The 21,121-nt window shown below is 50.5% G+C and overlaps 6 annotated features.

Annotated features, from left to right (window-relative positions):
• Positions 4,982–5,629: an enhancer, noted in NCBI's record as "H3K27ac-H3K4me1 hESC enhancer chr11:126016810-126017457 (GRCh37/hg19 assembly coordinates)". NCBI's record gives its function as "activates a minimal SCP1, AML or CMV promoter by ChIP-STARR-seq in naive H9 embryonic stem cells {active_cell/tissue: H9 hESC(naive)}" and the evidence as "EXISTENCE:reporter gene assay evidence [ECO:0000049][PMID:30033119]".
• Positions 5,630–6,276: an enhancer, noted in NCBI's record as "H3K27ac-H3K4me1 hESC enhancer chr11:126017458-126018104 (GRCh37/hg19 assembly coordinates)". NCBI's record gives its function as "activates a minimal SCP1, AML or CMV promoter by ChIP-STARR-seq in naive H9 embryonic stem cells {active_cell/tissue: H9 hESC(naive)}" and the evidence as "EXISTENCE:reporter gene assay evidence [ECO:0000049][PMID:30033119]".
• Positions 5,964–6,108: an enhancer, noted in NCBI's record as "145 bp enhancer 115 fragment used in the MPRA reporter construct; PK_construct_1821". NCBI's record gives its function as "activates an SV40 promoter by MPRA in HepG2 cells {active_cell/tissue: HepG2}" and the evidence as "EXISTENCE:reporter gene assay evidence [ECO:0000049][PMID:23512712]".
• Positions 6,029–6,042: a transcriptional cis regulatory region, noted in NCBI's record as "HNF4 motif; enhancer activity is reduced when this motif is scrambled". NCBI's record gives its function as "necessary for full MPRA enhancer 115 activity {active_cell/tissue: HepG2}" and the evidence as "EXISTENCE:site-directed mutagenesis evidence [ECO:0005528][PMID:23512712]".
• Positions 17,961–18,605: an enhancer, noted in NCBI's record as "H3K4me1 hESC enhancer chr11:126029789-126030433 (GRCh37/hg19 assembly coordinates)". NCBI's record gives its function as "activates a minimal SCP1, AML or CMV promoter by ChIP-STARR-seq in primed H9 embryonic stem cells {active_cell/tissue: H9 hESC(primed)}" and the evidence as "EXISTENCE:reporter gene assay evidence [ECO:0000049][PMID:30033119]".
• Positions 18,606–19,250: an enhancer, noted in NCBI's record as "H3K27ac-H3K4me1 hESC enhancer chr11:126030434-126031078 (GRCh37/hg19 assembly coordinates)". NCBI's record gives its function as "activates a minimal SCP1, AML or CMV promoter by ChIP-STARR-seq in primed H9 embryonic stem cells {active_cell/tissue: H9 hESC(primed)}" and the evidence as "EXISTENCE:reporter gene assay evidence [ECO:0000049][PMID:30033119]".

The raw sequence follows: 21,121 nt of genomic DNA on the forward strand, positions 1-21,121 counted from the left end.
TCAAGTCCTGCATTTCTACAAAAAATATTTAGAAATAGCCCCCCTTGGCCAGGTGTGGTGGTTCACACCTGTAATTCCAGCAGTTTGGGAGGCCAAGGCAATTGGATCCCTTGAGCCCAGGAGTTGGAGACCAACCTGGGACACATGGCCAAACCCTGTCTCTATTAAAAATACAAAAAATTAGCCAGGAGAGGTGGTACTTGCCTGTAATCCCAGATACTCGGGAGGCTGAGGTGGGAGGATCACTTGAGCCCAGGAGGTCAAGGCTGCAGTGAGCCGTGATGGCACCACTGCACTCCAGCCTGGGCGATAGAACCAGACCCTGTCTCAAAAATACAAAAATTAAGATAAAATAAAATAAAAATAGCCCCCGTAAAAGCAGAGAGTAGAATAGACTAGTAGCTTTCAAATAGGCCCCAAGGTGCACTGGTAGTGCATCCTGATGCCCAGGCCCCATTTCAACCAGAGCAGCTCAGCTTTATCTGTTGTATTTGTTTATGCATTGTGTAAGATTTCTTTGAAAGAAAAGCCTACCATTGTAAGCCTGTAAAGGAATAGTTTGAGGCTGGGCGTGGTGGCTCACACTTGTAATCCCAGCACTTTGGGAGGCTGAGGCAGGCAGATCACAAGGTCAGGAGATCGAGACCATCCTGGCTAACACGGTGAAACCCCGTCTGTACTAAAAATACAAAAAAATTAGCCAGGTGTGGTGGCGGGCGCCTGTAGTCCCAGCTACTTGGGAGGCTGGGGCAGGAGAATGGTGTGAACCCGGGAGATGGAGCTTGCAGTGAGCCGAGATTGTGCCACTGCACTCCAGCCTGGGCGATAGAGCAAGACTCCATCTCAAAACAAAACAAAACAACAAAAAAAGAATAGTTTGAAAGCCACTAAGGTTTAATTTCTTTTGGAATTCCCCACCAGCTTGAAGAATGACCATTCCCAAAAGAAACCCGCAGTGAACACATGTAACAACTTTTGGGCATAGTTCTCAAATTCAAATCACCTGGGCTGTTGTCAAATCATTTGTTCTCATTCTTTTGTTCAAAGGAAAAATTATGACCAGCATAAGGAATTGTAACTCTCCCCTCTTTTCATTTGGTCCAGGAATGGGAGACACACACACACCACAAGTTCTGCCATGCGTCCAGCTTGTGCCCATGACAGGCACCATGAGTTAGTTATTAACGCTCTCTGAACAATGACAACAACACAGTCTTGGGGTCCTTCTAAACAGAGTGCCCAGGCAGTTACCCTCAATCTGGACAAATTGGTACATTAGCTGAAACCTCTCTGCTAGCCCAGATTTGGTTGGCTGACTCCAAGAATGTCAGCTAAAAGGAATACCACTGTCCCTCCCCATCCCAATATCCTTCCTGGCTCCTGGATCTGTTGGACAAGGCACCTGTTATATATATATATATTTTTTTTTTTTAATTTTACTTTAAGTTCTGGGATACATGTGCTGAACATGCAGGTTTGTTACATAGGTATACATGTGCCATGGTGGTTTGCTGCACCTTTAAGCCCCGCATGCATTAGGTATTTGTCCTAATGCTCTCCCTCCCCTTTCCCCCCATCCCTGCCCCGACAGGCCCTGGTGTATGATGTTCCCCTCCCTGTGTCCATGTGTTCTCATTGTTCAACCCCCACTTATGAGTGAGAACATGCAGTGTTTGGTTTTCTGTTCCTTTGTTACTTTGCTGAGGATGATGGTTTCTAGATTCATCCATGTCCCTGCAAAGGACATGAACTCATCCTTTTTTATGGCTGCATAATATTCCATGGTGTATATGTGCCACATTTTCTTTCTCCAGTCTATCATTGATGGGCATTTGGGTTGGTTCCAACTCTTTGCTATTGTGAATAGTACTGTAATAAACATACGTGTGCATGTGTTTTTATAGTAGAATGATTTATACTCCTTTGGTTATATACCCAGTAATGGGATTGCTAGGTCAAGGATCTAGGACTAGCCATATTTTTAACAGGCCAAGTAGGCCTGGCCTTAAATAGGGGGGGTGTGGGGGGAGTGGGGGGATAAGGCCTTCAAACTTCTTGTTAGCTGCCTTGGCCCTAGAGAAAGAGGCTTACAACCTACAAAGAATAGGGCCATTCCTCACACCTTGCCATCCATGCAAGGTTCAGGGACTGCTACCATACACAACTCAGTTTGTATCTTCAGACCCTTCCCATCTGTTTATTCTCTAAAAATATATGTGAGAAAAAGATGCTCAGGAAAAACTGTAAAGGACTTTGAACTTGTTGAAAGGGGAAGTCTAAAAAGGGGTTGAGACAGAACTGGATTCCAAATCCAAAGCTGGGCTGGGAAAGAGGAACTCTCTGGAGGCATCCAGTGAGGGTTCAGGGAGAAGGAGGCACATCATGGCCCAGGAATGATCTGGGAGGGGCCACTGTCAATGAAACAAGGCAGAAAAGATTAAAAGACTTATGTGAATGCAGGCGAGGTAGGAGGGATATGAATTTGGTTGACGGTTAAAGACGTCATTCATTCATTCATTTAGAGAAAGGGTCTTACTCTGTCTCCCAGGCTGGAGTGCAGTGGTATGATCATAGCTCACTACAGCCTCAATCTCTGGGGCTCAAGCAATCCTCCTGCCTCAGCTGCCTGAGTAGCTTGGACTCAGGTGCACACCACCACCATACATACATATATATATATATATATATATATATATATATATATATATATATATATATATATTTTGTTGTTGTTGTTGTTGTTTTGTTTTTGAGACAGAGTCTCGCTCTGTCGCACAGGCTGGAGTGCAGTGGTGCGATCTCAGCTCACTGCAAGCTCTGCCTCCCAGGTTCACGCCATCCTCCTGCCTCAGCCTCCCAAGTAGCCGGGACTACAGGCGCCCGCCACCATGCCTGGCTAATTTTTTGTATTTTCAGTAGAGACAGGGTTTCACTGTGTTAGCCAGGATGGTCTTGATCTCCTAACTTTGTGATCCACCCGCCTCAGTGTCCCAAAGTGCTGGGATTACAGGTATGAGCCACCGCACCCGGCCATATATATATTTTTTGAAGAGATGGAAATTTTTTTTTTTCAGACATTGCTCTGTCACCCAGGCTGGAATGCAGTGGCACGATCTCGGCTCACTGCAACCTCTGCCTCCTGGGTTCAAGTGATTCTCCTGCCTCAGCCTCCTGAGTAGCTGGGATTACAGGCACCAGCTACTACGCCTGGCTAATTTTTGTATTTTTAGTAGGGATAGGGTTTCACCATGTTGGCCAGGCTGGTCTCGAACTCCTGAGCTCAAGTGATCCACTTGCCTCAGCCTCCCAAAGTGCTGGGATTACAGGTGTGAGCCACCGCGCCTGGAGAGACGGAATGTTACTATGTTGCCCAGGCTGGTCTTGAACTCCTGGTCTCAAGCGATCCTCTCACTTCAGCCTCCCAAAGCACTGGGATTACAGGTGTGCCGGCCTCAACCTTTTAAACAAGCAGAATTACCTTTTCAGAAGAAATCTCCCTCAGATCCCCAGGATATAAACTGGTAAAGGAGTTACTATAGTTTGATGTGGATTAGCAGCCCTCCCTACACCAGCTCTGCACCCACCCTAAGGACTGGGACTCAGAGAAGTACAGTTACTGCCTGAGGTCACCTGGCTAGGAAGTGGCTCAGCGGGGTTTAGAAATCACACGTGTTGGCCGAGCGCAGTGGCTCATGTCTATAATCCTAGCACTTTGGGAGGCCGAGGTGGGTGGATCACGAAGTCAGGAGTTCAAGACCAGCCTGGTCAAAATAGTGAAACCCTGTCTCTACTAAAAATACAAAAATTAGCCAGGCATGGTGGAATACACCTGTATTTCCAGCTACTCGGTAGGCTGAGGCAGGAGAATCACTTGAACCTGGTAGGCAGAGGTTGTGGTGAGCCAAGATCACGCGATTGCACTCCAGCCTGGGCAACAGAGCGAGGCTCCATCTCAAAAAAAAAAAAAAAAAAAAAGAACTCACACATGTTGATGACAGAGGGTCCCATGTCTTCTCAGGAACAAGACACACCCACTGCTTTGCTCATCCCTGTGTACCCAGTGTCTGGGATGGGGTCTGGCACCCAGAAGGCTTTCATTTGGGTGTTTGTGGAAGGCTCCTTCCCCCGTAGCTGTCCTCGGCAGGGACTCAGCCTCGCGGGTCATCAGGCAGTCTCGGGGAAGTGTTCTGTGCCAGGGGTCTACTTCAGCCCCCTGTTCTGGGTGCTGCCTCGAAGGCCAGTCCCTCTGGGATGTGTGTTGGGACGGGGATTGGGTGAGCACCCTGGGCCTTGGCAGGTGAGGTCATTCACCTCTCCTTCTCTGAGGGACTTCTGGAAACTTGAGGCATCCTCTGAGCAGCGTCGTTCCTGCCCTTACTTGGTCAGGAAGCTGTGATGCAGCCCAGAGACCCCCTAGTCCTTTCCTCCCCCCACTCTCCTCTCTGTGTACCTTGAGCACAAACACTCGGAGAGCTCCTGGAGAGACGAGTTCCAGCAGGAAGCAGGGGGTGTCCTGGGGGCCCAGAGAGAGAAGGCCCTGTCGTCTGTGGGGGCCACAGGTCTCCACCCGTGCTCAGCCCCTTCCCTCACCTCCTCCCATCTTCCTCAGGATCCCGCTCCCCCACCCCCTCATCCCTCTGCACAGACCTGCCAAGTTTGGGACATGAGAACAGGCCAGGTCCCCTCTGGGGAGCCCGGGGTGGGCGGAGCCAGGCCTGGCTGGGCCTCCAGGTTGGCCTGCCCTGGCCCCTGGGTTTAATAAACTCCGAGAGAGGTTTTCAAAGGCCACTTGATCTTCCCCATCAGGCAGCCCCTGTCTCCCTTTCAGAGCCGCGGGACTGGAAAGAAAAAACCGCTCAATGAACAAGGCGGCCAGAGAAAGCTGAGCTGCGGGGCACCTTCTATGAATTTCTGATGAGCCCACGGCCCTGACTCCTGGGTCCCGGCCCGGTGCAGTCAGGGATGTTAGTTTAAGTCATTTCGCACGGTTCACTGGCTCTCTGAGAGCAGCTTGTCTCCAGCCTGGGCCTCTCTAACAAGCTCTTTTTACTCAGGGCTTCTCTGAGCATAGACCTCAAACAATAGCAGCTTTCAAGGGGCTCGGCCCTCCTCTGGCGGCCTCCCTCTCCCAACCCCAGCCAAGCCCAGCCTCTATCGCTCACTGCCCACCTGAGCGCCCCCACCCACAGCCTGACCCGCAGCGGCATTCAGGGAAGACTCGCCCCTTCCTCCCTCCCTCCCTCCCTCCCTCCCTTCCTTTCCTGTCTTCCTCCCTCCCTCCCTCCCTCCCCTTCCTTTCCTCCCTCCCTCCCTCCCTACTGCCCCTGCCCTTTCTTGCTGTAAACAGGGCAGGAGTGCGCAGTGGGGCTCTCAGGAGCAGGCCACACTGCCACGCAACTCTAGAACACTGTGTGGATGGCACCCCCTGGGGTTGTGCAATGAAGAGCCCCCAGTAGAACGCAGCTCATTCCAACACTCTAAGCCTATTGGGCTCCTCAGCCCTCTTGAAACTGAGCAGTTTCCTCCTCCCTTTAGTCCAAGGAGGGAGCTGGCTTCCTCCACACTGCAGGCTGTCACCTGCCCCGCAGGACCCAGACCTGGTGGGGTTGATGGAGTTGCCTCCAAGAAGCGTGAAGCCGGCTCGGAGCACCTCTAGTGCCCAAGCCTGAGAGCGGACATTGGCGGCAGCGTCCCCCTGCAGAGGGGCTCCCCAGACACCAGAGGGACCGTGGCTCTCATCAGTCCAGGCCTCTCTATCTTCCCCATTCCCACTGTTCTCCACTGTCCCCCCTGTTCCTCAGAGCAGTGATGAGACAACTTCCAGTCCTCCCTACCTGCCTCTGGCCTTCTTGCTCGCTAAGGGGTCTTAGGAAGAGACTCCTGGGAAGAGGTTCATTAATCAGCAGATGAGTCATTTACATGTTTAGACTAGACCTCTGGCCAAAGCAAACAAACAAACAAAGTTCATATTGAGACAAGTCAATATTTGACTTAATGAGAGTGCCTTGCCAGTTGAATGCTTTGATGGTGACCTTTGACCTGGGAGCTTTGGAAGGCATTTGAGCTGCAGTCCCATGGACACTGCACTTTGGGAGGGGCTCCAGCCCCACTCCTACAGCACCTGCCAGCAATTAAGTTTCCCTCCCCAGGGATCTAGGCCCTGCCTCTGGGGCCATGGGGTCTCTCACCTTTCAGGAGTCCCAGGCAGCCCAGGACTTCTTTCTTTCTGGAAGCTGCTAGAGAAAGCCCAGTTTCATGTCCCCTTTGCAAACCCCCCCACGCTAATAACTCACCTTCTTCAGGAAGTGAAGTCTGATCAGAGACAGCCTGGCAAGAGGAAAGAACGAGAAATTGGGGACAGGACCCCGATCCCAGCTATACCTTCAACCCCTGTTTGCTGTCTGACTTTGGTGAACATTCCTGTTCTCCAGCCTGAATTCCTCATGACAGTGTGGGGACTGGATTTCTTTCTTTCTTTTCTTTTCTTTCTTTCTTTTCTTTCTTTCTCTCCCTTTATTTCTTTTTTTTGGACAGAGTCTCAAAGAGCAGAGTCTAAAGTGCAGTGGCTTGATCTCGGATCACTGCAGGCTTGACTCAGGCTCAGGCAATCCTCCCACCTCAGTCTCTCGAGTAGCTGGAACCACAGGCACACACCACCACACTCAGCTAATTTTGAATTTTTTGTAGAGATAGGGTTTTGCCATGTTGGCCAGGCTGGTCTCAGACTCCTGGTCTCAAGTGATCCACCTGCCTAAGCCTTCCAAATGCTGGGATTATAGGTGTGAGCCACCACTTCTGGCCCCATGTTTCTCAAGAGTTTAGTTCCCACTTGTCCAGTTTCAGAATCCCCTGGAGGTCTCGTCAAAAATGCAGACTTCAAGTCCCCTCCCCAGACCCGCCACTAAAGCAGAATTTCTGGGGGTAAAGCACAGTCTGCATTTGAACATGTCCCCAGGTGAGTTTTAGGCCCACCAGAATTGAGAACCACTGTCCTAGTTGGTCCCAAACTACAGCTTTAGCTGAAAATCTGCCTAGGTGCTCAGTCTGAAGTCACTTTAGCCCTATTCAGGGCTGGATTTTCCAGGAAGCTAATGGCTTTTGCACAGGATCCTTGCAAGGCCCTGGGAGGAATCCTGGTACATTTGTGTTCATACTTGTGAATTCTTTTACTTAAAAAGAGTTCCCACCACCACCACCAAATTGTAAAAGCTCAGACCCCGCCAAGCCTGGCTTTGCTCCTGGTTGAACAGTTGATTGGTGATTTTGTATTGAGTCTGAAGTTTTGCCACAACTCTCCCCTCTGATAAGTTCACCTTCAGTTTCTCTTGCATTCCGTATCCTTGTAGAGTCTATATTCTTTGCACAGTGAGAGCCATAATATTATCTCTAACTATCACTTCTACTGAAATCCCAGGGGTCAAATTTCAGTGACCCATTATGGCCAGAGGTAGAAATAATTCCAGAAACAGAAAAGTGTCCCAGGCTGGCTGCTGCCCCCAAACCCAGACTCTATTCACCAAAAGAGGTTTATTCCCAGGTGTTGGGACAGGTCAGACCAGGCCAGGTCAAGAAAGTCGGGCCCCAGTGTTTAAGCCAATTGGCCATTCTTCACATCAAACCAGATTTAAATTCAAATCTTGACTTGGCCTCTTATCAGCTGAGCGATGCTAGAACCTCAGACTCCTCTGGCATGAAGAGGTGAGGATCCAGGCTGTGGCGAAGGTTGCAGGGACAGTAGATGTAAAAGCACAGTTGTAAAATATTGCTCATTGGGCAATATGGAAGCGAGGGGCCTTGACACCATCAGTGATCTAGAGTGTGCATGGACTGTGCCAAATCCTTCCAGTGCAGCTGTGTTGCAGAGAGGCGACCAAGGCCCCCTACTGACCATACTGTCAGGGGTAGGAGTCCTGCCAGCACCCCTCATCACAGGGACTAAACAGTACCCTGGCATGCACTGCACTCCCTTCCCTCTTTAGTGTGGGCCACAGAGCTGGGCAGGGAAGTAGACGGCGGGGGCAGGACAGGATGTGGGTGGAGAACCTCTCTGCTCCCCTGACCCCCTGCAGCCCTTGGCAACTCAGGGGGACAGGGAGAGGGAGGAGGAGGAGAGGAGGAGGAAACCACATCTGGTCTGAGTGAGGCTCATAGCCAGGAGAGCAGGGCCCTGAGCTGGGAGGAGAGGAAGCAGGGAGGGCTGGCATGGGCCTTGGCCAGTCCAGGAGAGCAGAGGGAAAGTAGTTGGTGTTCGGGGAAAGCAAATAAATAGAGGGGTTGAGACAATAATAATAAAGAGAAGAGCCATTAAAGTGAAGAATAGAGATTGTGTCACACCCAAGACAAACAGAAAATAAACAGCCAGTAGATCCCCTCCGCAGATGTTTGGCACTGAGTGAAGACAGATTAAAGATGCGTGGAAGATGCCTAAGTCAACCAAGCCTCTACCAGCAGCAGCTGGAGAGCAGGTGGATGGAAGCCTCCGCCAGAGAGGTCTTTGCGGCTGAAGGGAGCCAGCCCCAGAGACCACGGCACCCTCCGGAAGCCGGCACCTGCAAGCGTGGGATGGGAGGAGAGGGAGATGCCGTCCCTCCCCGGACAGGGCTGGTCCCTCTGTTGGTGCAGTCCCCTTGGCCTCCTGCAGGACCACGTCCCCCAGCACCCAGGTGGAGTAGGTTCTTCAAGTGGCCTCATAGACATCCTGCCCCTTTGCTGCTTTGCCACCAGGCCCATTTCAATGACTCTTCAAGGACCCGGTCTTTTTTTCTTCTTGGCATCTGGCTTCTGAGCTGACCTTTGTCCTGTCCCAGTGAGAGGGTGGGGGAGCTCAGCATCGGGGGTACTGCACCCCCATTGACTCAGTCTTCTACTCTGGGTGTCTGGCACCACAACAGACGCCTTGGGGGTTACAAAGATGAATAAGACACCATTCCTTCTCCAAAGGTACTTATGATCTGGGATAAAGGAAACTCAAATTTTCTGAGTGTCCATTCCATAATACCTCTCTGCCCGGTGCCTTCAAATGGTCTACCTTATTTATTCTTCAAAATAACCCTGTTCGTAGGAATTATCCCTTCATTATTCCTAACCAGGAGGAGGCTGAGGACCAGAGAGATTTGGTGCTGTTTCTATGGTTGCAAAGCTAGGAAAGGATGATCTGGTACTCAACCCAAAGTCTAGTGCTCTTTCTCTGAACCCGTAAACAACCATAAGGTGAAGCAGAATTTGACAACAACCAAAGAAAAGCACGTGCTCTTAAAAGATACAAGAAAGAGTTCTCCTGTCTCGCATCCACCCCTGCCCCCTTAATGAGAACCAAACTTCATCTTTCTGTTCTGTGCGCCAGCAGGGAGGAGCCGGCACATCCCATGCCCAGCTAGGGCCAAGCGCCTGCAGGTGTCTGAGGAATGCTAATGGCCGTGAATTGGGGGAGGGTGTGCACAGGCTCTTCTGCAGCATTTGCTTCCCATTAAGCCCATTCCTCTCCAGACCCTCCTGCCCGCTCCAGCAACATGCAGCTTTCATGAGCCAATTACCATGCCCAGGTTTTTCTGTTCCTCTGAAGCCACTGACACTGCTAACCAGGCACAGATGCAGTAGGGCATGCCCCTGCTGTCCACTTCAGAGCAGGGTTTTTCTTTGCCCCAAGGACCACAGGTAGAGGGAGGAAGGTTGGATAGTCCAATTTCAACTCAGCCCCCAACAGGAAGGGGAGGCCTCAAAGGGCAATTTGTTGATTACGAGTGGTTTTTCGAGTGGAATAGGATCAGCTGGGTGACTTGTGCCTAGCCAGGACTGAAGAGTCATGGACAGGGCAGGGGACCCAACTGGGAAGAACAGAGACTAGGTTTGAAATAAATGTGCAGGCCAGGAGAGCTTCCCCTGAAACCTTTAGTTTACAAATAGGTATCCAGAGTCTTAAGAGTAACTTAATTCAAAACGAATTGCATTAAAACCTACTTAGAAACTAATCAGAGAGCCTGAAACCTCATATTTTCTTCCTATTTCTTAAATCTCATCAGCCTTACCATATTTTCAACCTCTTAAAATTTTCTTTGACCTTCAAGTCTCAGTTTTCCATGGACTTTCACAGATATTCCTGGACAAATTTAACCTCTCCTTTCTCCTTAATCCCTCCACACACTGGCTGTATTTCCTTGAATCCAGTTTCACTCTACCATATCTCTGTGGGTTTATTCTTATGTATTTTCCCCCAGAAATCCCAATGTTTCTTTAATCTGAGGACAGTGTCCTTTCATCAGTTCTGGAAAATTGAACGTTGCCATGTCCCTTTCTCTATATTCTTCTCCTGTGCAACTCCCTGTAAAGGTAATTTGGATCCTCTCATTTTATCCTCTATGCCTTTTTGGCTTCTCCTCCACATTTTTTCTCTCTCCTGTTTCCATGCTACATTTGTTGTAATTTCCTCTGATCTATCTTTCAGTTCATTAATTCTCTGCTCAGCTTCATCTAATCTGCTGTCTGACACATCTATTGAGCTTTTAATTCAATGACTATATTTTTTATTTCTAGAAAGTTCTTGTTTTTTAACAAATTTGCCTGTTTCTTCCAAAATATCCTATATTTTCTTTATGTTTCTATGTTTTCACCTTTTTAATCATTTTAAACATAGTTATTTTAAAGTCTCTTTCAGATTGTTACATTGTTTTATTTATTGGAATGCTAAACTAGTTTGATATGTTTGCTGACTTTCTCTAATAGTATATCATTTCCTGATGTGGGTTTGTAATTTTTTTATTGTTTGGGCAACTTCAAAGGGGATCAGATTTTGCTGTGAAATGCTGTTGCTCTGGGGCACATTCCTCCTGAATAGCTGTGTATTTCCTTCTCTTGATACACCATGAGTTTTACTGGTCTGGGATCTATTTTTATATTAATTTCTCAGCTTGGGAATTCCAGCAGTGGAAATTCAGACACTGTAGTCACATATGGTTCAGGCCTGCAGCTTCTATTTCTCACAGAAGACTTTTTTCTATTTAGAGTCCCAGTCAGGATAAGATTAACTGTCCCTACCCTAAGCCTGTGATTGGTATTTTTTTGATCCTGGTTTGTCTGAGGTTATATCTCTTACAGGGTCCCAGTCTTTGCATAGGTCTCAATTTTAGCTATCTTCCTCTTATAAACTAGAGATCATGTCACCTGCCCCCAGGGCAGCATCAAAACCATAATGCCTAGCACCTAGAGCTACATCCATCCTGATGTCCCTCATGGAATAGCACCATGGCTTCAGCTGGTGGAGCTCACGACTCAGACTTTACGTTCTATGTTTACTTAGTGGTAATTTTTTCACTGTGCTTTCCATTCCAGGTCATGAATGTCAAGCACTTTTTTTCTCCTACAGTGCCTAGCATGGTGCTCTGTAATGAGCCTTCTTATTTAGCCATTCACATACTCGACATCCTTAGACCCAAACAGGACTCCTTTATACGTGCAGAATCCAGAAGCCAGCAAGGGCATGAGGCATGATGGAAGGAGGGGTTGCAAGCACAGGGAAGAGGAGAAACAGCAGCAGTGAGCACGTGCCTGGAGCAGGATGCTCCCCTGCTCTCCCTGGAGCTTGTTTCTTTCCTAGGACCTAATGCAGGTCATAAGGAGAGATCTGGACCAAGAACTGGACCTCCTTTAGTCTAATCTCAGGCATGTATGAGCTGAGTGAACTGGGAAGTCACTTCGTCTTTCTTGAGTATCTGTAAAATGGAGATGAGGGGTTGGCCTGGGTGCTGTCCAAGATCCCTTCCAGGTCTCACAGCCTTTGGAGCTGCAAGTGAAGAACATGAACTGGACATAATGGGCTGGGCTCTCGCCCAGATGTCCGCCACCTTTTCCCCACCCCAGATCACCCACTGGAGTTTCTAGCTCTCCCGTGCCGCTCCTTCCTCTAGCACCCAGGTCTCTCCTTTCCACCCAGCCTCCTTTCACCATTCCCTGCTGTCCCTTCACATCTACTCCCTACTGAGGCCTTTGTCCTGTGTCTGTATCTTATGAAAGGAGGGTGACACTGTGGTGGCAATTAGTATCCCCTACAGTGGTGGGGGATGAGTCTCATGGGGCATCAGAAGGGAAGGGCAGGTGAACAGCAACCCAGTACCTAGCTGTGCAGAAGCCCCATCTGCTTCTAGCTTCAGGGTTTCCCAAGCCTTGGACTGGAGACCCTGCATCTTAATGAGCCTCTTGAGCCGGTTCAGAAACAATGAATCAAAACCAGCTGGAAGCTGCCCTCCGACCCAGCTAATGACTTGTTTATTGTCAGAGCAGCAGTGCGTCATATAAGGGAATTTCAAAGTGTCACTAATTGGCAGAGCGCCAGTAAATAGCACCATATAAATCTGAAGACACTTCCACTAGGGCTGAGGACTGTGGAAGATACAGCTGAGGCAGGGGAAGAGGAGATTGCAGGGCGTGGCAGTGGGTGCAAAGCGCACCCACTTGTCAATGGCTGCAGCCTCTTCCCTGTATCTCTACCATCCCATGGGGACTGTGTTTGCTCCGTGACTAGGGAAGAAAGCCCTGTGATGGGCCCTGTCCCACCTCTGATGACATTGTACTGCACACCTCCAACCCCAAGATGCCTCGCTTCCTGCCGTACTATGGGGGACGCAGCTTGTAGCACTGTATTATGGGAAAAGGTGTCCTCTTGCTGAGGAAAGGACTCATGATCTCATCCGAGTCGGGTGAGTACATCTGTAAACATAAAGTCCCTTCTATGCATTACACAGAAATGTTCTGCTAACTGAAGAACTGCAGTGAGACCCTTACTCCAGTGGGCCCTTCCCTGCTCTCCCTTGAGTTCATTTCTTTCCTAGGAGGTAGTGCAGCTCATAAGGAGAGACCTGGACCAAGAGCTGGACTTCCTTTGGTCTGATCTCAGGCATGTATGAGCTAGAAGGACCAGGAAGCAATGACTGATACGATAAAAAGAAGCTCCTTCTCACTCAGCAGGACCCATGAGCTCCTGCTGGAAGCAGAACGAGAAGGTGGGCCAGCAACGGGTAATCAGCGAAACCAATGGCTGTTCCTTCCTTGCTCCCCAGCGCCTCTCATACATGCAGCCTTGCTGGCGGCTCCGCACTTATCTATTGTTTTGAACTAACAATTTGGAGAAGAGGAAGCAAGAGTAAGTGAGAAAGGAGGAAAAGCATAAAGTAGAAAATAAAAGGGGGTAGAAGGGAAGACAGAAGGTCAGCATTTCAAGTGGCATAACCTCTGTGAGGCTTGGCAGGCCAGGGCAGGCACAGAAAGCCTTTTCCTTCTGGCCCGGCTGGGAAGGCGAGTTTGGGCTCTGCAGCTCTGTGGAGAGGGCGGTGATCGGGCAGAGGCACCGAGGGCTGATTCCTCGGGGTTGACCATTCTGTGTCTGGGAGTGATGGCCCTAACGTTAGGCCCAGCCTACTGCTGGCTAAGCTTATGACATGTGGCATCAAGAAGCCAGGTGGAGAATGGGAGGAAGGCAAGCTCTGTGTGCAGCAGAGAGGACAGGAAGTTCAAGGACACCTGTGATCTCAAGATGAGAGCAAGGACTGCGTAAATTTAGGGACATCCATCAGGGCCAGCGGTGTAGTAAGAGAACTCCCTAGCACAACCCAGCTGATCTCTCACGGTGGGTTCCATGATTGCCATCCCCATTTTACAGATGGAAAACTGAGGTTCAAAGATTCAGGACATTTCAGGGCTGCTTACTCGCCCACTCATGCACTCCCAAGCGTGGATGGAGAACTTACGTCTCGGGCCCTGGGCTGGGAACGGTGAAACTTGCAGATGTGAATGAGCCACAGCCTGTGTCCTCCACGGGCTTCAGAGCTAACAGGGGAAATGGCATCCGAACAAATAAAGAGAATGTAAAACACCACAGGGGAAAGAATTGGGAAAGAGGAATGAGCAGAACACACGGAAGAGGATAGGAGGGGTAAAGTCTGATCTGGTAGGAACAGGGGGCACTTCACAGAGGGGTGATATCTGAGGTGAGCCTTGAAGAAAAGAGAGATTTCTAACAAGTGAGCGAGGCCCGCAGGGGAAAGGCAGGCCCCACGGAGAGGGCCCGGGCGCTGCGGCTGCGTCTTCCCGCCTCCCCGCCCACAGCCACGCTCACAGCACACGGAGGCTGCGGGCTCGTGTCCAGCTCATGGAATAGTCGCTGAGACAAGGCACTTGGGCAAAAAGTACCCGGCTGAGGAAATTCCCCCAAACAGAGACACAGGACGTCCTAGTGGCCTTGGCCCCTATGTCCCCCGATCTCCATGTCTTTCTCCTCCGAGGAATCCCTCACGATTTAGCCCTTTGCCTGACTTTATTAGCCAAATACCTGGTTTCAAGTATTAAGAACACCTGAAAAACTTTATCCCCCAGTACATCTACTTTGTTATGTTTCCAACATTAAAATTTTAATTTTATTAATTTTTATAATTGGTTTCATATGATGCAGACATAAAACAAGAGTCAAAAGGACATATAAGGAAACCAGGCATGGTGGCTCACACCTGTAATCCCAGTACTTTGGGAGGCTGAGGCAGGCAGGTCACCTGAACTCAGGAGTTTAAGACCAGCCTCACCAACATGGTGAAACCCCACCTGTACTAAAAATACAAAAATTAGCGGGGCATGGTAGTAGGTGCCTGTAATCCCAACTACTCAGGAGGCTTAGGTGGAAGGATCACTGGAAGCCAGGAGAAGGAGGTTGCAGTGAGCCAAGGTCATGCCACTGCATTCCAGCCTGGGTGGCAGAGGGAGACTCCGTCTCAAAAAAAAAAAAAAAAAGGACATAAAGAAAAGTATTCCTCCCATCTCTGCCATGGGCCACTTAGCCCCTCTTCCTGTTCCCAAATATTCTCAATATTACCAGGGCCTTGAGTATTTTTTTCTGAGACTTTCTACTTGCATGTCCTTTTTAAAAAGAGAAATACCTTCATCCACTGAAATACATTTTCTGGGCTATTTTAGACCTTCCCTGCGGGGAGACAAGAAGGAACAGTACGTAATTCCTGGCCCATGTGGAAGAGCAAAATCCTCCTTAAGACTCTACACACAATTGCGCAACGTTCGTCCTCAGTAATCTAGCTCATCTTGTTTGCGTTATACGCATCCTCTCTTGCAATGCTCTCAGTAACCTATGGCCAGCGCTACTGTCATTATCCCCATTTCCCAGATATGGAAACTGAGGCTCAGAGAGGTTCAGAAACTTTCCTCTCTCACCAATCTAATAGGTGGCAGCATAAGGATTTGAACCCAGGCCTGTCACATTGCACATCTTTCATCTTTTTTTTTTTTTTCCTAAACGGAGTCTCACTCTGTTGCCTAGCAGCATGATCTTGACTCACTGCAACCTCTGCCTCCTGGGTTCAAGTGATCCTCCCACCTTAGCCTCCCAGGTAGCTGGGATTACAGGCGTGCACCACCACACCTGGCTAATTTTTATATTTTTGGTAGAGACAGGGTTTCACCATGTCAGTCAGGCTGATCTTGAACCCCTGGCCTTAAGTAATCTGCCTACCTCAGCCTCCCAAAGTGCAGGGATTACAGAGTGAGCCAGCGTGCCCAGCCCAGACTGCACATCTTTGAGTCTTAACCACTACACAACTGTTTCTAGAAAAAGGAAGTGGAAAGCACTTTGGATTTGGCAGAGCAAAAGCGAGAGAACCTGCACAGAGCAGAGCCTAAAATCCAGTCTCCCACTCAGATGTCCAGGGAGAAATCCACCTGCAGAGAACATCCCAAGTTTCTGCATGAGATTGTTCTCCCCCAGCTCAGGGTTTGCACTGCATTTGGAGCAGGGGAGAGAGCTATGCCAGGAAACAGAACCGCTGCACACAGAGAAATGTCTTCTGGGCAGCCTGAGTCAACAGGCCTCCCATGGGCAAACGCCACCAGAAGACCAGAGCTGGTTTTCAGGGAGGCTGCACTGAGAGACCCACCTTCCTGGACCTGATCCATCATAGCTGCCTTCCTATGGGCCCTGAAAAGATCTATGTAAACCCCCATACACAGCGCCACTTGGCACTAATGGCTTCAGGGTAGAAATGCCCTGGTCACTCCGAGGACCCAGGGCAGGGTTTTCCAGCAGCCTAGGAGGAGCCTCTGAGCAGAGAGGGTTCTAGGAAGAGCTTGGCCATCATGCCAGACAGAGATGATTGCACTAATAAGGAGAGAGGTGGCCGGCCAGAGCCCTCCTTTGGCCCCAAGCCTCCAGTTAATGAGACTTCACAGGGAGAAAGGGCCTCTCGGGTGAGGCGGGTGGAGCCACAGAGGCCACAGAACAGCTGGAGGCCAGCAGTCACTGAGGCTGTTTATTAGGAGACAAAGAAAGAACTTTGCTCCCTGCACTGAGGTCAAACTCAAGGTATCCCAGGGAAATGACAGGGGAATTGATGAAGTAAGGAGGCAGCCAGTTTGACAAGTTGTTGGCTGGCCCCTGCTCCAGCAGTGTGGTCTCAACCTGTGCCCCCCACCCCTCCAACAACCAAAGTCCTGGAAAGCACTCACCTTAGTGGAGCAAGATTCTCCCCAGCAAGCAGGCCAAGTCCCCAGGCTTCCAGGCCACTGGGTGGGCTTCTAGCAAATGATGCACACCCGACCACCAGGCAGGGAAGGGGAATGGAGAAGACAGTGGCAGCTATTTCCTGGGCTCCCACAGAAGTTCCAAACCACCTCCACGCACTTGCCAACCCACCTCCAGTTCAGACACATGCAGATTTTGCTCAGGGCTAGAATGTCCCTGAGGTAAGTAAACAGCCTTTGGTGACGGTTGTGGCGGTCTCTGCCTCTGGGGACAGGCAGCTGAGTCCCAGTTTTGAATGAGCAGGACTGCCCCCCACACCATCCCGACATCCTTGGATGTATAAGGAGGGAGGGGTGTGGAGCTTGCATAGGATAGAGTGGATTTTCTGGGAGTCTGAGTGGGAGGAAATTCAAGCACTGCATTGTGGGGCACAGGAGAGACAGACTGGGGGGAGACATGTGCATTTACATTATTTACAGAATGGAAATTCAGACACTTGAGTCACTTAAGTGGCAGGTTTCCATGAAAATTAGGTTTCTATTTTTTTAATAAAAGAAAGGAATATGTGTGTGAGAGCCTGTGTGTATGGTGTCTTGCACAAGTGAGTGTTTGTGTGAGTCTGTGTGTGGACAGCAACCCGCAAGAGTGTGTGGGTTTGAGACCGTCTGTGTATGGCATCTTGCATGAGTGTGTGTGTGTGTGTGTGTGTGTGTGTGTGTGTGCGCGCGCGCGCACCTGTGTATGGTGTCTTGTATAAGTGTTTTTGTATGGTATCTTGCATGAGTGTGCGAGAGACCGTCTGTGTATAGTGTCTTGCGTGAGTACATGACTGCGTGTGAGCGTGTGTGCATACAGTGTCTTGTATGACTGCATGTGTGTATGGTGTCTTGTATGACTGTGTGTGTATGGTGTCTTGTATGACTGTGTGTGTGTATGGTGTCTTATATGACTGTGTGTGTATGGTGTCTTGTATGACTGTGTATGGTGTCTTGCTTAGTGGGTGAGTGTGTGTGTGAGTGCAGGGAGTGGGGTAGGGCAGAAGACGGTGATAAGAAAGGCAGTATCTTCTTTGCCTGCATACTAAGTTCAACACATGCACCCATACCCATACAAAACCCAGGAATTTTCACCTTTAACAAGATAGAAACACAACTCAAGATGGACCTCTCTGGCCATGTCCCCCAGAGTGTAACTTCTCTTCCACATGGGGTCTGTTCTTCCTCCCTCCCCACAGCTTTTCAGCTGGGAAATTGATACCCACCTCCCATGAGCAGCCTTTCTAAGCGACCGGGAGCTCCCTGCACCCTCAGCCTGACCTTCCCGTGCTGAGCCTGGGCCCCTGGCCCCAGCGGGGCGGCCAAAGCTGCCGCCAGGGCCCATCCATCAGGCTCAGCACAGCCTCCCGCCCTCGCCTGCCCCCACCACATCCAGCCTGTAAGTCAGCAGGCCGCCGAGAGGGACCCCCAGGGCCTATCTGCCACCACTGCCCCCTCAGCACCCCCCTCGGCGTAACAGCTACTGGGCAGAGGAAAGTAATGATTCCTCCCCTCCCAGCCTCCTCCTTCTAAAGCTGACAGCCTCTCCCTCCTACCTGGTGACCTGCTGAGATCTGCTGAGACCAAAGCTGCAGGCCAAAGATAAAAAATGCCTGGCTATTGACTAAGACACAATAAAGGGCCAATTTGCATGTTATTTGCATACCAAGTTAATGTCAAAATGGAATGAGCCCCCGTACCGCTGCAGCTTTCCTCAGTGGCCCTTATCCTCAACCTTTCTCTGCAGGCCCTGCACGGGGCAGGGGTCTCTTTCAGGCCTGTTGATGGCAGGGGTCTGATCCCAGCTGGGCTGCGGCACATGGTAAGCCGCCCAGAGGGCACCTCTCCACTGTGTCCTCGGCGGCCCCTGCCTCGGCACACTTTCTCAGCACCCTGAGAAAGGCCAAATCCCATGCTGGCCTCTTGCCCCCGCCCACTGCGCCCCACGCCCCACCTGCTGTGTTTGTGCAGGGGTGGAGGGAACATAATGAGAGGCTGATGTTCCTGCAGCTGGGCTGTGTTTGGAGTCTGGTGGAGTGAGGGGAGGGCAGCAGGGCAGGTCGGGGCAGCAGGACGGAGGGCCAGGCAGGGCCGCAGAGCCTCAGGGCCCAGCAGTAACAGCTCACACATGATTTTTCTCCCCACAATGTTCTCCACTCCAAGCCTGTGGGCCCCCAAGTCGGAAGCTTCCAGGACTGTAACAAGCTTTAGTTTATACACAAACAGCTGCATTTTCCTACTACCGTTTACTGCAAGGGAGCCAGCGCAGCATCCTCTCAGCTTTGCTTGGCCTCAGCAGTGAGTTGAAGCTCGGCTTGGCCAGCCTGGGAGAGCAGGGACGGCAGGGCCTGTGGATGGGACGCATCACAGGTGGGTCCTGAGCTCTGGGGTCTGTGATTCAGTTTCTCCTCCCCCAGTTCCCCAGATTCCCTGTCCCCTTGGACTTCGGTGTGTACTTACTCCAGCATCCCTCATCTCACCCGCGTATAAATACAGAGAAGGAAAAGAGTTTCAGAACGGAGGCAGTCGTTTCAGAATGAGTTGGATCATTTGCCAGGTGAAAGGACCGCCCGTGATGTCCTATAGTGCCTTGGTGTGCCATCACCTCCAGGCAAGGGTGGCACACGGGAACTGTGCATGTCCCCTCCCCTTCCACACTTCACTGCAGCCAACCAAGGCTTTGCTTCCCGGTAGCCTCTCCCAAGGCCCAAGGCGGCCTGGCTGACAAAGGACAGATCACTGCCCCAAGGAAAGGGCATGGAGAACAGTGGCCCATGTGAGAGAGGGGTGTGTGGACAGAGGGGGCATCTGAGGACAGGAGGCGAACCCAGCTCTGATGTGGTAAGGGCTCTCACAGCCCTGCAGTCCCCACACCCAGTCACCCTGCAGCAACCAGGCGAGGAGGAGGAAGAAGGCTCCGTCCAAAGTGGGGCTAAGCTTGCCTCTTCTGACCTATAGCATCAGAGAATGGTGACCCTACCCATGCCGCCCCGCCGACCACAGTTAGGCCCCTTTGGAGCGGCGTGGGGTGGGGACCCAGCAGGGTTGGCAGCATCCGCTTCAGGGCTGCACGCTGAACAAAAGCAGGGCGAGCTGGAAGCAGATGCTGGCACCTAACAGAGCAAACAAGTCACTCCACCTCTCTGTGCTTCCGTTTCCCCCTGCCCTTTTTTTTTTAATACTTGAAGTTCTAGGGTACATGTGCACAATGTGCAGGTTTGTTACATGTGTATACATGTGCCATGTTGGTGTGCTGCACCCATTAACTCGTCATTTACATTAGGTATATCTCCTAATGCTATCCCTCCCCCTCCCCCCACCCCATGACAGGCCCTGGTGTGTGGTGTTCCCCATCCGGTGTCCAGGTGTTCTCATTGTTCAATTCCCACCTATGAGTGAGAACATGCGGTGTTTGGTTTTTTGTCCTTGCGATAGTTTGCTGAGAATGATGGTTTCCAGCTTCATCCATGTCCCTACAAAGGACATGAACTCATCTTTTTTTATGGCTGCATAGTATTCCATGGTGTATATGTGCCACATTTTCTTAATCCAGTCTATCACTGATGGACATTTGGGTTGGTTCCAAGTCTTTGCTGTTGTGAATAGTGCCGTAATAAACATACGTGTGCATGTGTCTTTATAGCAGCATGATTTATAATCCCTTGGGTATATACCCAGTAATGGGATTGCTGGGTCAAATGGTATTTCTAGTTCTAGATCCTTGAGGAATCGCCACACTGCCTTCCATAATGGTTGAACTAGTTTACACTCCCACCAACAGTGTAAAAGTGTTCCTATTTCTCCACATCCTCTCCAGCACCTGTTGTTTCCTGACTTTTTAATGATCGCCATTCTAACTGGTGTGAGATGGTATTTTCCCCTCTTACAATCAGGATAAAGAAACTCCTTCCTGTGGTTGTAGCAAGAGTGAAATGTGTAACCTATGTGAAGCACTTGGAATGGGCCAGGCACACAGCAGACACTCAATAACAGCAGCTGTTAGATCTCAGCAAGGCGGGGCAAGGAGCATGAGAGGGCGGCTGGGGAGAAGGGAAAGGAAGGCTTGAGGCAGACACTGGCCTTGCTGCCTCCATCTGCACACTGTGAGTGACCTGCCAGGTGCAGCGGCTGTGATCACCTCCAGGAATCTCCTGGCCCTCTTCTCAATCTTCCTTTAGAAAAACAGCCAGAGGAATCAAATCTCCTCTCTCCACTGGGGTCCTTCAGCCCCGGCTGCCCACCCCCTTGATTCTGCTGTCCAGCCCCTAAGGAGAAGGTATGGATTTTGGAGGCAAACAAACCTGGGTTGAATTCCCTATTCGGCCTGGAGTGGGCTGTGTGGACTTGAGCAGGTCTTCACACCTGGCAGGAACGCGACCACCGCCGGAGAGCCATCAGGCCCTTGGGACGATCGGGGTGCCCTCCCCACAAATCCCCAGCTCTGTGTGACCCAGGACAAGTGGCCCAGCCTCACACAGGCAGATTCTGCTCAGATCAAAAGCAATCACGAGCACAGGGCCTCAGGGCGATGGGCAAGACATGGGACCCCAGGATTGCTACAGTGTTCACTCGGAGGAAG

Source organism: Homo sapiens, chromosome 11 (genome assembly GCF_000001405.40).
Source record: "Homo sapiens chromosome 11, GRCh38.p14 Primary Assembly".
In the NCBI taxonomy this organism is placed as follows: Eukaryota; Metazoa; Chordata; class Mammalia; order Primates; family Hominidae; genus Homo; species Homo sapiens.